The sequence below is a fragment of the Homo sapiens genome, chromosome 7 (genome assembly GCF_000001405.40).
Source record: "Homo sapiens chromosome 7, GRCh38.p14 Primary Assembly".
NCBI lineage: Eukaryota > Metazoa > Chordata > Mammalia > Primates > Hominidae > Homo > Homo sapiens.
Window position 1 is genome coordinate 144,068,302 of NC_000007.14, and position 14,229 is coordinate 144,082,530.

Sequence of the window (14,229 nt, forward strand, 5' to 3'; positions counted from 1 at the left end):
GCTAAGATATGAGGATGCAAAGGCATAAGAATGATACAATGGACTTTGGGGACTAGGGGGAAAGAGAGGGATGGGGACGAGGGATGAAAGACTACAAATAAGGCGCAGTGTATACTTCTCAGGTGATGGGTGCACCAAAATCTCACAGATCACTAAAAAACTTACCCATGTAACCAAATACCACCTGTACCCAAATGACTTATGGAAAAATAAAAAATATTTGGAAAATATTACTTACACTGCCTTATGTAGAAGTAGAAAATCCAAAACCTTAATGTTCAAAAAATTGAATTGGTTACCAGAATTTTCTTCTAATCAAAGAACACCATGCCATATAGTTTTAAAGACAAATTTTACCGATCCTTAAGGAACAGCTAATTTTCATACTATGTAAAACTTATTGAGAATAGACAAAAGAAGTACAGCAATCCAGCTTGCTTTATAGGGCTAGTATAACAATGATAACAAAACTAGAAAAGTACAGTAGAAGAAAAGTGATTTATTGAACAAATCTCAAAAATGAACATAAATGCAAATTAGCCTAAGTGTTAGTAAACCAAGTTCAGCATTGCTATTATCAAACAAAATACATCTTTTTCAGATAAAATATAATTTTAGGCAAAAAAATTATAAGACATATAGAAGGCTTTTATATTTATAAAATTAGAAATAGAAAAAGAAGAGATATAATTTATGAGTTTATATATTTAATAAATTGGACCGTGGACAACATATGGGTCACAGTGATTGTTTCTCTCCAGGCATTAGATGCCCTTGGGCATCAATATGAGGAAGCAGCATCTTTTCAGTATATGAGGACACAATCTGAACACCAATCACCAACAAGCCTCTTACTGAACAGGTCTGATGGGGAAAAGCACATTAAAACCTGCTACAGGTGAGCTCTCTCAAGGTTAAAATAATAGGTTTTTTTACTTTCTTAGTTGGCAGTCATAAACATTAAAAAAACTTTAATTTAGCAAATTACATCCTGCCTCCTTTATATTTAAGTATAAGAATGGATTTAGGTAAAAGACTAAAAGAAAAATTTAAAGCACAAAGACACCATCGGATTGTCTCAGCTGGATTTCCGGAAATTATAAAATAGGGTCAGTTCATTTTCATTTCTTCATTCTCAGAAGACAGAGAAAATAGTAATAGTCACAGACCTCAGGGATTATGGTCGTCCTCACTTCACCTCACACTCCCCTTGCATTCAAAATCACTAGAAATTAAAGAACAGGGATTGCTTCTTGGTAAGAACTGTCCTTGTTTGTGCTCCAGTTAAATCTTACAAAAAGGGTTCAACAAATCCCACTGGGATGCTTTATCCTTCTTTCTGATCCCTTAACATGTTGCCCACAGCTTCTATAGCTCTTGCTACCTGGTCCTACTTTGGGAATTGGATTCCTTGTGGAGATTTGATGGAAAAAATTACAGAATATATGTTCGGGTTGCACAGAAGATAAAACTCAGTCAAAATGGGATGGGAATACTATATGGGTTCCACCTGCCCTGAAACAAGTGATTCTATTTGGAAGGTTGAATCTATATGAGTTCCACCTGCCCTAAAAACAAGTGAATCTATTTGGAAGGTTAGTAGGTGGGGATATTTTGGAGTTCCTGAAACTAAAATAAGCCTGGGGAATCTGTAATGTATGAAGAGGTCCTGGAAGTAATTGTATTCCTGCTTAAATTTCTGATCATGAATCCTACACTGACTGAAGAAAGTAACAGCAGCAACATCTTGACATCAACATCCTTCCAGAGAAAACCAGAGAGATAAGTACAGGGAGAGCCCTTTTCCCTAGGACAGGAGCAGATGGCAGTGTGCGTGATGGGTCTTTATCTCTCCACTGCAACACACTTTCATAGCATACTGAGGCATGGTTGATCTAAGCAGAGAATAACGTCATCTCTTCTGAGAGCTATCCAACCTCCACTGGGGCACTTTTTTCCCCCAATAATCTTTTTGGAATGAAAGAGTTTCAACACTAGCTTACAGATGCTTTTTACTAATTTGTGAAGCTTTACCTAACTCATATCCACCTTGTTTTCTCATTTTTAGTTGTTAATCCTGATGTAAAATGTAAGTTTTTATATTATCCAACCTTTATTTATTATACAATTTCAGAAGCACTGTAATAAAAAATCACAATGCAAACTGTAATTCTTACCTGTTAATGCCAAATTTCTGCTATTTACAGACTTAGCTACTAGACTAATTTAACATTTTTCTCTTTCAGATATACCTAATGTAGATAATTTATTTTGATGCTTTTGGTGTTGAATTTCTTGTTTAAATTGTAAGGTAAAATAGTTGTTTGTGGGGGGTTGCCTCATGTTTCTATTGCCTCATGAAATTAAGTAGTGGTTTTATAGAACAATGGGCCTAATTGACTGCAAACTAGATTTATGTTACATAAGAAGAAGAGTGACACAAAGGATTTGTTTTAAAATATGAAATTCATTTTTCTGAGCTATTTAAACATGAGAATTATCATATTTGTGAGTCCCTTTTTTCTAAATTTTTGTAGGTACATAGTAGGTGTATATATTTATGGGGTATATGAGATGTTTTGATACAGGCACGCAATGTGAAATAAGCACATCATAGGGAATGAGGCACCCAGACCCTCAAGCATTTACCCTCTAAGTTACAAAAAATCCAATTACATTCTTTAATGTGAATGTAATCCAATTACATTCTTTAATGTGAATGTAAAGAATTACATTCTTTAATTATTTTAAAATTACAATGAAGTTATTGACTATGGCCACCCTATTTTGCTAACAAATAATAGGTCTTATTCATTCTTTTTAATTTTTTTGTACCCATTAATGATCCCCACCTCCTCCCAATACCCCTGCTACCCTTCCCAGCCTCTAGTAACCATCCTTCTACTCTGTATGTCCATGAGTTCAATTGTTTTGATTTTTAGGTCCCGCAAATAAGTGGGAACATGTGATGTTTGTCTTTCTGTGCCTGGCTTATTTAATTTAACATAATGATTTCCATTTCCATCCATGTTGTTGCAAATGACTAGATCTCATTCTTTCTTTATGGCTGAATACTGCTCCACTGTGTATATGTACCACATTTTCTTTATCCATTCATCTGTTGATGGACACTTAGCTTGCTTCCAATTATTAGCTATTGTAAACAGTGCTGCAACATAGGAGTGCAGATATCTCTTCGATATACTGATTTCCTTTCTTTTGGGTATATGCCAGTGGGACTCCTGGAATATTTGTGAGTATTTTTAATAGTCTTATCAATCCAACCAGGTTACATGTGCCTACAAACAAGTACAGTCTTATATGCCCTCAGCTAAGACATGTAGCAGGACGTAATATATGTTCAGTTAATACCTGTGGATTTATATTTTGTGATTTAGCTACTTGGAGATGGGGGAAGATGAGATGACACCATTGGTCCTTCTATTTTATTGTGTGCCTTTATTATATGAAATTTTAAAAGTAGCATTGTTATCTTCATTGGACTCAGATATTGCAAGGAAGTTGAGGTGAAAGTGAATAACACTTTTCTATACATTTGGGACCACTGAATCCTATTGTTGGAAAGGATCTTGGCATTCTTCTAGTTCAACTTCTCACATGACAAAGGAATCCCATCTTGAATAGATGGTTAATTAATCTATGAATTAAAACACTCACTGAAATCTTCATTCCTAATAAAATTACTAATTTTCAAGAAGGCAATTTCAATAATGATCAGATTATTTATTGACTAAGATAATATCACCTTCCAATAATTTCTACTTTGAATTATGATTCTTGCTTTGAAGCAAAACTTATCTACCTTTGCTGATGAAATCTTTCAAATATTACTTGAATAGGGAACTCATTGATAGGAACTCAATTATGAATTTTTCTGTTTTTATTTTAGTGAAATCCAGATGGATTATGGGCTGAAGAAGGCTATAGAGTCAGGCAAAAAAACAGAAGCAATAATTTAGAAATTACAATGATTCAAACCTCAGTATACCCTCTTGGCTTTGGAAGGATTTTAAAACATTTGATAGGCCACAAAAAAAAACTAAAGAGTCACCATAAATAATAAGTAGTTATTTATTTGTACATGATAGTTAAGAAGCTATAAAATATGTTAAACATTCTATGAATATAAGTATATGGTTAGAGTTTTAGCTCTAGTTTTGGATAGAGATCAGTATTTTTTAAATCCCAGGCTATGACCCATCATGAAATAATTCAGCCAGCACTTTTACTAATGAAATAGAATACATTAGACTAGAATAAAACAGAAAACAAGCACATTACACAGAGTAAGGATTCAATTGTATATGTACTCATGTGTGTATGTACTGGGTAGACATTTATTACTGTAGGAATATAGCAGAATTTTAGAAATTTCCAAATGCAACTAAATAAATCATATGTAACAATTTCACTGCTGGGTATATATCCAAAAGAAATGAAGTGAACATATCAAAAAGATATCTTCACAGCCATGTTTATTGCAGCACTATTCACAGTAACCAAAATATGGAATAAGCCTAAGTGCTCATCAATGAATGAATAAAGAAAATGTGATATATATACACAATGGTATATTATTCAGCCATGTAAAAGAATAAAATCCTGCCATTTTCAGCAACATGGATGGAACTGGAGGTCATTACATTAAATGAAACAAGCTAAGCACAGAATGACAAATATTGTATGTTTTCACTTATATGTGGGAGCTAAAAATGTGCATCTCATGAAGACAGAGAGTAGCTTGGTGGTTACCAGATGCCAGGAGGGGTAGCAAAAGGGAAACAAAAGAGAAGTTGACTAATGAGTACAAACATATGGTTTCATAGAAGAAATAAGACCTAGTGTTCAATGGATTAGAAGAGTGACTATAGTTTACAGTAATCTATTGTATATTTCAAAATAGCCAGAAGAGAATAATTTGAATGTTTCTAACATAAAGAAAAGACAAATATTTAAGGTGACAGATAGCCCAAGTACACAGATTTGATCTTTATAAATTAAATGAGTATATTAAATTATCGCATGTACCCTAAAACTATTTACATCTATTATGTATCAATTAAAAATTGTTAAAAATAAATTTGCAAAAAACAGAAAAATATATATACAAATAAATAATATAAATACACATTTATAGTATAAGAAGTATACTATATATACAGTAGATTACTGTATGATGAAATGTACAATGAAATATACAATAGATTACTGTAGTCCAAGAAAGGTGACAGGTAACTACATTCTGATCATAAGACAACACAAACAGAGTAGACCCTCTATGGGTACAAAAGTCAAGACACAAAGATCTCTGTTTAAATCCAGCCAAAGTTAGGGCAAACTGCCATTCTCTTAACTTAATTCAAGATTATGCAATCAGTAAAAATCACAAGTTTAAAAAATAATTCATAAAACAAAGGCACAAATTGGTGAGAAGACCTGATAGCAGGATCATTGACATGGTCATCATCCCTCTTTCTATCCTTATATATAGACATAGACACCAGCACACTTCCACATGCATGGATATAAGTACCCTGCAATGAAGGAATACAGAAGGCAAGCATCTGATGTAATCATCACAAACTGAGGAAAGAGTCCATGCTATTAAGGCAATTTAAGTATTAACATATTTTGAACTGTAACGAAAGTAGATTTGAAAATAAGATGTAATGAATACTATAATATCATACTAACATTGAATTTATCATAGATGACAAAATGTCCTTGTGCTTCATTTGTAATGCATAATTTTCTCTTAGTAAGTGACTAAGATCAAAATATAATTGAAGGTGTTTTCTTAGAAAACACTCAAACAATAATATGTACAGTTGCAGCATGCTTAAACATTTGCCTTAGACATTCAGACTTGGTGAGCTCCTTGTTTCTTCTACAGGGAAATGGGGGGAAATCAGACTTCCATCACAGAGTTCCTCCTACTGGGATTTCCCATTGGCCCAAGGATTCAGATGCTCCTCTTTGGGCTCTTCTCCCTGTTCTACATCTTCATTCTGTTGGGGAACGGGACAATCCTGGGGCTCATCTCACTGGACTCCAGACTCCACACCCCCATGTACTTCTTCCTCTCACACCTGGCGGTCGTCGACATCGCCTGTGCTTGCAGCACGGTGCCCCAGATGCTGGTGAACCTCCTGCATCCAGCCAAGCCCATCTCCTTTGCTGGCTGCATGACCCAGATGTTTCTGTTTTTGAGTTTTGCACATACAGAATGTCTCCTCCTGGTGGTGATGTCCTATGATCGGTACGTGGCCATCTGCCACCCTCTCCGATATTCTACCATCATGACCTGGAAAGTCTGCATCACTTTGGCATTGACTTCCTGGATTTTAGGAGTCTTATTGGCCCTTGTCCATCTAGTGTTACTGCTACCACTGTCCTTCTGTGGACCCCAGAAACTTAATCACTTTTTCTGTGAAATTATGGCTGTTCTCAAACTTGCCTGTGCGGATACCCACATTAATGAGGTAATGGTTTTGGCAGGGGCAGTGTCTGTGCTGGTGGGAGCCTTCTTTTCCACTGTAATATCTTATGTTCATATTCTATGTGCCATTCTAAAGATCCAGTCAGGAGAGGGGTGCCAGAAAGCCTTCTCCATCTGCTCCTCCCACCTCTGTGTGGTTGGACTCTTTTATGGCACAGCCATCATCATGTATGTTGAGCCCCAGTATGAGAGCCCCAAGGAGCAGAAGAAATATCTCCTGCTGTTTCACAGCCTCTTCAATCCCATGCTTAATCCCCTAATTTATAGTCTTAGGAACAAGGAAGTCCAAGGTACTCTAAAGAGGATGCTTGAAAAGAAGAGAACTTCATGAAAGCCTGAAAGAATAGTAAAATAGCTGGCTTCAAAGGGCTTTGAGATTACATCTGAACCCATCCCTACTCAGGATACATAATCACACTCTAGAGAACCCTTTCCATCTTCTTGAAATTTTCCTATGACTACCTCCCGAGAAAGCCCATTCTGCTTTCCTCTCTCCAGCATTGAAGGTCGGAGCTGCACAATTAATAAAAATATGTTTATACTAGCTGTATAGTGTACACACTTTTAATATAATTATGTGAAATATTCTGAAAGTTGGAAATAAATGTGTATCTTTTTGTTCTGTAAATAAGACTTGAAGGCGAATTTTTGTAGAATAAGGATATGGGAGTTAGGAGAGACTGATAACAAAGTCATTATTTAATTATTCTTAATTTAGAACGTGCCGGCCAGACACGGTGGCTCACGCCTGTAATCCCAGCACTTTGGGAGGCCGAGACAGGTGGATCACGCGGTCAGGAGACCGAGACCATCTTGGCTAACACGGTGAAACCCCGTTTCTACTAAAAATACAAAAAATTAGCCGGGCGTGTTGGCGGGCGCCTGTAGTCCCAGCTACTCGGGAGGCTGAGGCAGGAGAATGGCGCGAACCCTGGAGAGGCGGAGCTTGCAGTGAGCTGAGATGGCGCCACTGCACTCCAACCTGGGGGACACAGCGAGACTCCGTCTCAAAAAAAAAAAAAAGAAAGTGTCATATTTAGGCCAGGCGTAGTGTCTCATGCCTGTAATCCCAGCACTTTGGGAGGCCAAGGCAAGGAGATCATGAGGTCAGGAGATTGAGACCATCCTGGCCAACATGGTGAAACCCCGTCTCTACTAAAAACACAAAAATTAGCCAGGCATGTTGGCGCAGACCTGTAATCCCAGCTACTTGGGAGGCTGAGTCAGGATAATTGCTTGAACCCAGGAGGTGGAGGTTGCAGTGAGCCAAGATCGTGCCACTGCACTCCAGCCTGGGTGACAGAGCGAGACTCCATCTCAAAAAAAAAAAAATGCTATATTTAAAAATAGGTCTACATATAAAATATTTGCACATATTTCTCTGGTGGTGACATTTTCTAAGGTATAATCCACGTAGATTAGAAAGAGCATGAGCCATGTCTTCACAGGAAAGAGAATGGAGAATATAACTGTAATGCAACTAACAAGAAAACCTGGGCAGATGTCATGCTAGTAAATATATAGACATATTGGAGCCTTCTCCGTTCCTTTTTCTCTGCTTGTGGAGTGCAGGGGAAAGCCATGGGACGTAGAGCTGAGAGGAAGAGAGCACAATGGGAATAACAGAGCTCATGGAAGAACTATATGTTTTCTCTCATGGGTTTGGTCAATTGTCTCCTATTGAAAATGATTAAAACTCAGAGGAGATAATCCTGAAAAGTAAGAACAGACTGTAACTGTTGTGGCTAGTTGATCAATATTACTACAGCTGGAAATTATCAGGAATAATTTAATTTTAAATTGAGGTATTTGAAGTAATTTTAATAATCTTTTTATTCAAACATGAAACTCTTCCACTTAGTTATAAAGTGATAGAAAATAATAGTGAAGAAGTATTAGGAAAGGATGTATAAAGATACTTCTGTTTCTCAACTCTTCTCTCAAATTAAGTATAACTTAATTAAGCCTAAATATGCAAACTGTATAAAAGGGAAATATTCAACTTTGTTAAAAAGATGTTTTTTTGTGAAAAAGTATGTTGATGAGGAAAATACATGGATTTTTCTCTCACAAAGCATCCCTTTTGTTAGGACATCTGTTATTGCAGACATGATCACATAACCAAAAAAAAAGTGGGGGAGTAAAAACACATGTACTTTGGGTTCAGCTAGACCTGGGATTTTACAAAGTTCTGCCAGTTGCTAGATGTGGAAACTTTTGTAATTTACTTAAATTCTTCAGAAATTATTATGTATAAAATGAGGTCAGTAATGCCAAGCTCACAGATTGTTGGGAAGATTAGAGGAAATACATGAAAATGTTTAGCAAGATCTATAACTCATAATAACACAGTAAGTAGTATTCATTAATATTATCCACTACATATACTTATTATGTCCTTAAAGAACTAGAACACCAACTTATAAGTGCAATAACAAAATATCAGATTTCCCATTTTACCAGAAAGAAGGAGGAATGTTGCAAAATTTAGCGTTTTATCTGATACAAAATGCCATGATGTCAAATAATTTATGAAGTAAATGATTCACAGAGCTTTTCCTTTGCAATCTCAGTTCTCTGAAAGAGTAATGACTATTTTAAAATACATGGATAAATACAATTCAAAATTGCTAAAATTCATATATGTGTGTGTATATATTACACACACACATACACACACACATCAGTGCTAGGTCCTGGAAACAAAAGGACGAATAGGGCACATTTCCTATTACTTTATTCATGTGTAGTAGGAGAATTAAATGGATATATGATGGAAATTATCAACTTATATAATAAGTTAATAACTGAGCTCTGCCCAGGATGCTATTGTAGCCCAGAGGAAGGATAACTCCCCCAGAATGGGAGTGTTTCAGTAAGACTTCCTGGAGTGGAAGTCTGCATCACTCTGGCATTGACTTCCTGGATTTTAGGAGTCTTACTGGCCCTTGTCCATCTAGTGTTACTGCTACCACTGTCCTTCTGTGGACCCCAGAAAGTTAATCTTAAGTAAGCATAAGTAAGAGTTAGCCATCAGGGGCTGGGAGAAAGGCGTGGTGTGGCAGGAAGGGGTGTTCCATCCAATGAGTGAAAGAAGCAAAGACCCAAAGGGAGTAAGCAGCTTGTAAGCTGCGGGGGAAGCAAACATAGCTCAGGGTTTTCCAGGTATAAAATACAAGGCAGGGACTGATGACAGGTGAGCTTGGAGAGAACAAGCATGGAGGAACACATATTCCAGGCTAATGACCCTGAAGTACGGCCTATATGAAATGCGAAGCCAGATTATAAGTATGAAAATGCCAAGTAATCAGACCTGAATTTAGAAAGATCTTCTGGAGCTATGAGGACTGAGTATTTGAATTGACCAAACTGATATCAGAGCTACTGTAATATAAAGGCTATCATATCAGTTGAAGCAAGAAATGCTGGCAGAGGCTGAACGGAAAAGTACACATGAGAATAAAGTGGGGGTGATTTCACTGGGAGATGATAAAGTAAAATGAGCATAATTTGGTGGTTGGTAAGTATAAAGAATAAATGGAGGAAAGAATTTTTTTTTTTTTTTTTGAGACAGAGTCTCCCACTATCAACCCAGGTTGGAGTGCAATGGCGCGATCTTGGCTCACTGCAACTTCCGCCTCCTGGGTTCAAACGATTCTCCTGCCTCAGCCTCCCAAGTAGCTGGGATTACAGGGGTGCATCACCATGCCCAGCAAATATTTTGTATCTTTAGTAGAAATGGGGTTTCACCATGTTGGCCAGGCTGGTCTCGAACTCCTGACCTCATGATCTGCCCACCTCAGCCTCCCAAAGTGCTGGGATTACAGGCGTGAGCCACCGCACCCAGCCGAATAATTTTTTTAAAAATTTTTTAAATTAAAGACACACAGAGAAATGTATAAATCATAAGTTAAATTCAGTGAAAGATCATGAAGTAAACACATTATGTAACCACTTTCGGGGAGGAGAAATAAAACATTCTGGCCTTCCGGAGCTACCATCATGCTCTCTCCCAATTACTGCACCTTCCCTCCTCCCACAAGATACCTATTACCCTAACTTCTAACAGCACATATTAGCATTGTATTTTCTTGGACTTTATATAAATTGGATAGGTACATAAAGAGTGTACATTCTTTTCTATCTGCCTACTTTCATTCATTATTGTCTTTGTGAGATTCACCCAGGTTGCTGTATGTAGCATAATTTATTATTTTTCTTTGTTTTATAGCATTACATTGCACAAATATTTCATAATTTATTCACCACATTCCTAATGGATATTTGAATTGCCTACAATTTTAGCTATAACAAATAATTATTCCATGAATGGTATTATATGCACCTTTCAGGAGACATATATAATCACTTCTGTTGGCTACATATGAATGGGAATACTGGGTTATAAAAACTCTAGACTTTCGGTCAGGCGCGGTGGCTCACGCCTGTAATGCCAGCACTTTGGGAGGCTGAGGTGGGGGGATTACAAGGTCAGGAGATCGAGACCATCCTGGCTAACACGGTGAAACCCTGTCTCTACTAAAAATACAGAAAATTAGCCGGGCATGGTGGCAGGCGCCTGTAGTCCCAGCTATTCAGGAGGCTGAGGCAGGAGAATGGTGTGAACCCAGGAGGCGGAGCTTGCAGTGAGCGAAGATCACGCCACTGCACTCCAGCCTGGGTGACAGAGCAAGACTCCGTCTCAAAAACAAAACAAAACAAAACAAAAAAAACCAAAAAACAAAAAAAACCCTCTAAACTTTCATCTGCTTTGGAATGAACTCTTGAACTCTTGAAAGTCAGCCTATAGAATTGTTATTATTATTTACTCATGACCTGCATTGTGTCTCACACTGAGCTCTATATTGTAAATACAATGATGAGCTCTCTCTATATATACAGTTTCTGCCCTTTGGTGTTTCATCCCTCCCTATCTTTCTCCTTGCTGGTGCTATGAACCTCTGACTTGGTTGGATGGCCCCAAAGACCTCTTGTATGCAGTTTTTTCTCTTGCACCATGATGTTTTCCTCTGAAGTCACTATCCTTACTTTTCTGATATTTGCATCTACCACCTCTTAGACAATAGCTGACTTTCATGGGCACTGTGTTGCTCTGGATTGAAAAGAAAAGAAAAAAAAATTCTGGCTGTGAAAATCTGGGTATAGATTGACTCTTTGTGCTTGCATATTTGCTATAATTATCTTAAGCCCATTGGAAAACTCTAAGTTTGAATAATTACAGTGTGGCTCTGTTCGTAGCATGTAACTTATTTTCAAAAGAGAATAACATGGCTCCCTTCTGCGATTATTTAGTTTTTGCATTTCTCATTTCTGTTTCCAGGAATAGAAAATCATCTTACGACAAGACACCTAAAAATGCTTGGTAGAATGTTAAGCAAACCAACATCACTTTAAATGTAGAGCTGTGTCTGCAGGAGAGTCAATAAAATTCTCAAGAGGACAAAGATTAGACAGAAAATAAATGGACAATTATGAGAACACAAGCTAGCAACTAGCAGAAAAACAAGTTAGGAAAACGGAAGACTATACCTGCTTTTAGGGTATTTGTCAATCCCCCAAATCACAGATTAAAATGACTCCAGAGGTCATATTTTATAAACCCTTCACCTGTGTAAGGTGTTATGTTAGAGTAAGAATGCCTTCATAAAAACTGGAACCTCTACCCATTGCTACCAGGAATCAATAATAAGAGTTGTGACTGACATTTGATTGAAGCTAAGGAATTCAGAGGAAAATAAAATATTATTTAAATTGTTGAAAGAATTAACTGCCAACCTAGAATTCTACATCCAGAAAATATAATTCAAATTTCAGATGAAAGAAAGATGTTATCACAGAAGATAAGAAAGAAAAAAAGAAACACCTCAGAGTGTTCATGCACTTCAGGAGACACAAAAGGAGATTTTTTCTGGCTGAAGAAATGCTCCCGGTGGTGTTAATGAGTGGTTGTGTTTTATGCTCCTGAACACGATGATTTTTTTTGTGTCCTTGGTTTTTTTAAGTGAGGCTGTGATACGACCATGATATGCCTATGTCATATTTTCTTTGCATGTATCCTGACGTGAATTGTTAAACTTTCTAAATTCATGGAAGGGTTGACTTTATATATTAGAAATGCTCAGACAAAATGTGATTTGGGCCCACTTTATTTTCTCTTCCTCTTGGGAATATGATGGCGTTTTTTTTTTTTTTTTTTTTTTTGAGATGGAGTCTCACCCTGTCGCCCAGGCTGGAGTGCAGTGGCAAGATCTTGGCTCACTGCAAGCTCCGCCTCCCGGGTTCACGCCGTTCTCCTGCCTCAGCCTCTCGAGTAGCTGGGACTACAGGCGCCGGCCACCACACCCGGCTAATATTTTGTATTTTTAGTAGAGACGGGGTTTCACCGTGTTAGCCAGGATGGTCTCGATCGCCTGACCTCGTGATCCACCCGCCTCGGCCTCCCGAAGTGCTGGGATTACAGGTGTGAGCCACCGCGCACGGCCTATGATCGACTTTTAACATCAACCTACATAATCTGCTCCATATCTGTTATTTTGCTTTTATGCGTTTATCTGCATGTTTCCTATTTATCTTTACTTGACTTTAATAATCTTCTAATGAATCAGGATAATCAGTTAAATTATCCAATGTTTCTTAATTTCAGATATTACAGTTTGTTGTTTTAGAATGAATATTTGATTATTTCTATAGATTATATTTATCTGTGGAATATGACAATTTTTTCAATTTTTTATATCTCTGCCTCCATTTTCTTCAAAATATGAATTATTGTTACTTTGAAGCCTTTATTCAGAGCTTTGGTATCTGTGTTATGTTTGGCAGTCTCCCAGTGACTACATTCTCTCTTGATTATTGATCAGTTTTTTTTCTTTTTTTTCAAGTTTTCAATGAAAAGTTGTAGAGGCTTTCTGTTATGTAATTTTCCTCTAAAGATTTTTGGTATTTTTTTTTCATAATTACGATTGTGGCAGATCTACTGTTGTTTGTAGGGCACAATTTCTCTTTCTATAATGTGGTCTTTATCAAAATCTCTCAACCCTGGTAGATTGTAACTCCAACATCCCCAGCACTTCGAAATTTCTAAAATCACTTTTCAGTTCTGTTCAGCACTTCTCAGCAGTCAGCCCCACAGAAACCAGCCTTTGCTATGCCTCCAGGAATCTTGCATGTTTGGATTCAGCCTAGACTTAGGAGAAACACCTATGCATACTTTGGAAGTTCCTTTTGTACATATTCTTCTTCAGTGCCCTACCCTGAAATCTCAGTTTCCACATTGGCCCTCAACTTCCCTGTTATTTGTACCCAAGGAGACTTCAGCTTTCTCCTTGGACTCCGTTTTGCTAGTTGCTGCTTGGAAAATGACTCTTGGGAGGAAGTCTGTTTGAATGTGAGGCTTGTGTCATATTTCCCTTCTCACAAGGATCACATCACTGTACTATCTACTTTCCTGCAACTGAAAATGGCTGTTCCATATATTTCATTTAGTTTTATATTTACAGTGGGAGGGAAAGACTGATACTACTCCAAGTTCCTTACAGTTATTTTCTTCTATCTCACTTCTTGATTTTCTGACCTTTTTAGGACTGGTAATCTGGCTGTTACCAATCTATATTCTCTATAGTTATTGCATGAAAATTAGCGACTGAATTTACTAAGGACACAATTACTTCTAAGACACACTCATTAGA

At 37.2% G+C, this 14,229-nt stretch overlaps 1 protein-coding gene and 1 pseudogene across 2 annotated transcripts; both read left to right on the plus strand.

Annotated features, from left to right (window-relative positions):
* Positions 1-1,509: 1,509 nt before the first annotated feature.
* Positions 1,510-7,569, plus strand: OR2A25 (olfactory receptor family 2 subfamily A member 25). 2 transcript variants are annotated; one of them, NM_001386096.1, is made up of 2 exons: positions 1,510-1,595; positions 5,915-7,569. In NM_001386096.1, exon 2 carries the CDS (start codon positions 5,919-5,921, stop codon positions 6,849-6,851), a length of 933 nt encoding a protein of 310 aa, NP_001373025.1. In that variant the 5' UTR covers positions 1,510-1,595; positions 5,915-5,918; the 3' UTR covers positions 6,852-7,569. The 2 variants fall into 2 exon arrangements, with proteins under 2 accessions (NP_001373025.1, NP_001004488.1); NM_001004488.2 differs by lacking the exon at positions 1,510-1,595 and adding an exon at positions 2,012-2,089.
* Positions 9,092-9,553, plus strand: OR2A41P (olfactory receptor family 2 subfamily A member 41 pseudogene; annotated as a pseudogene).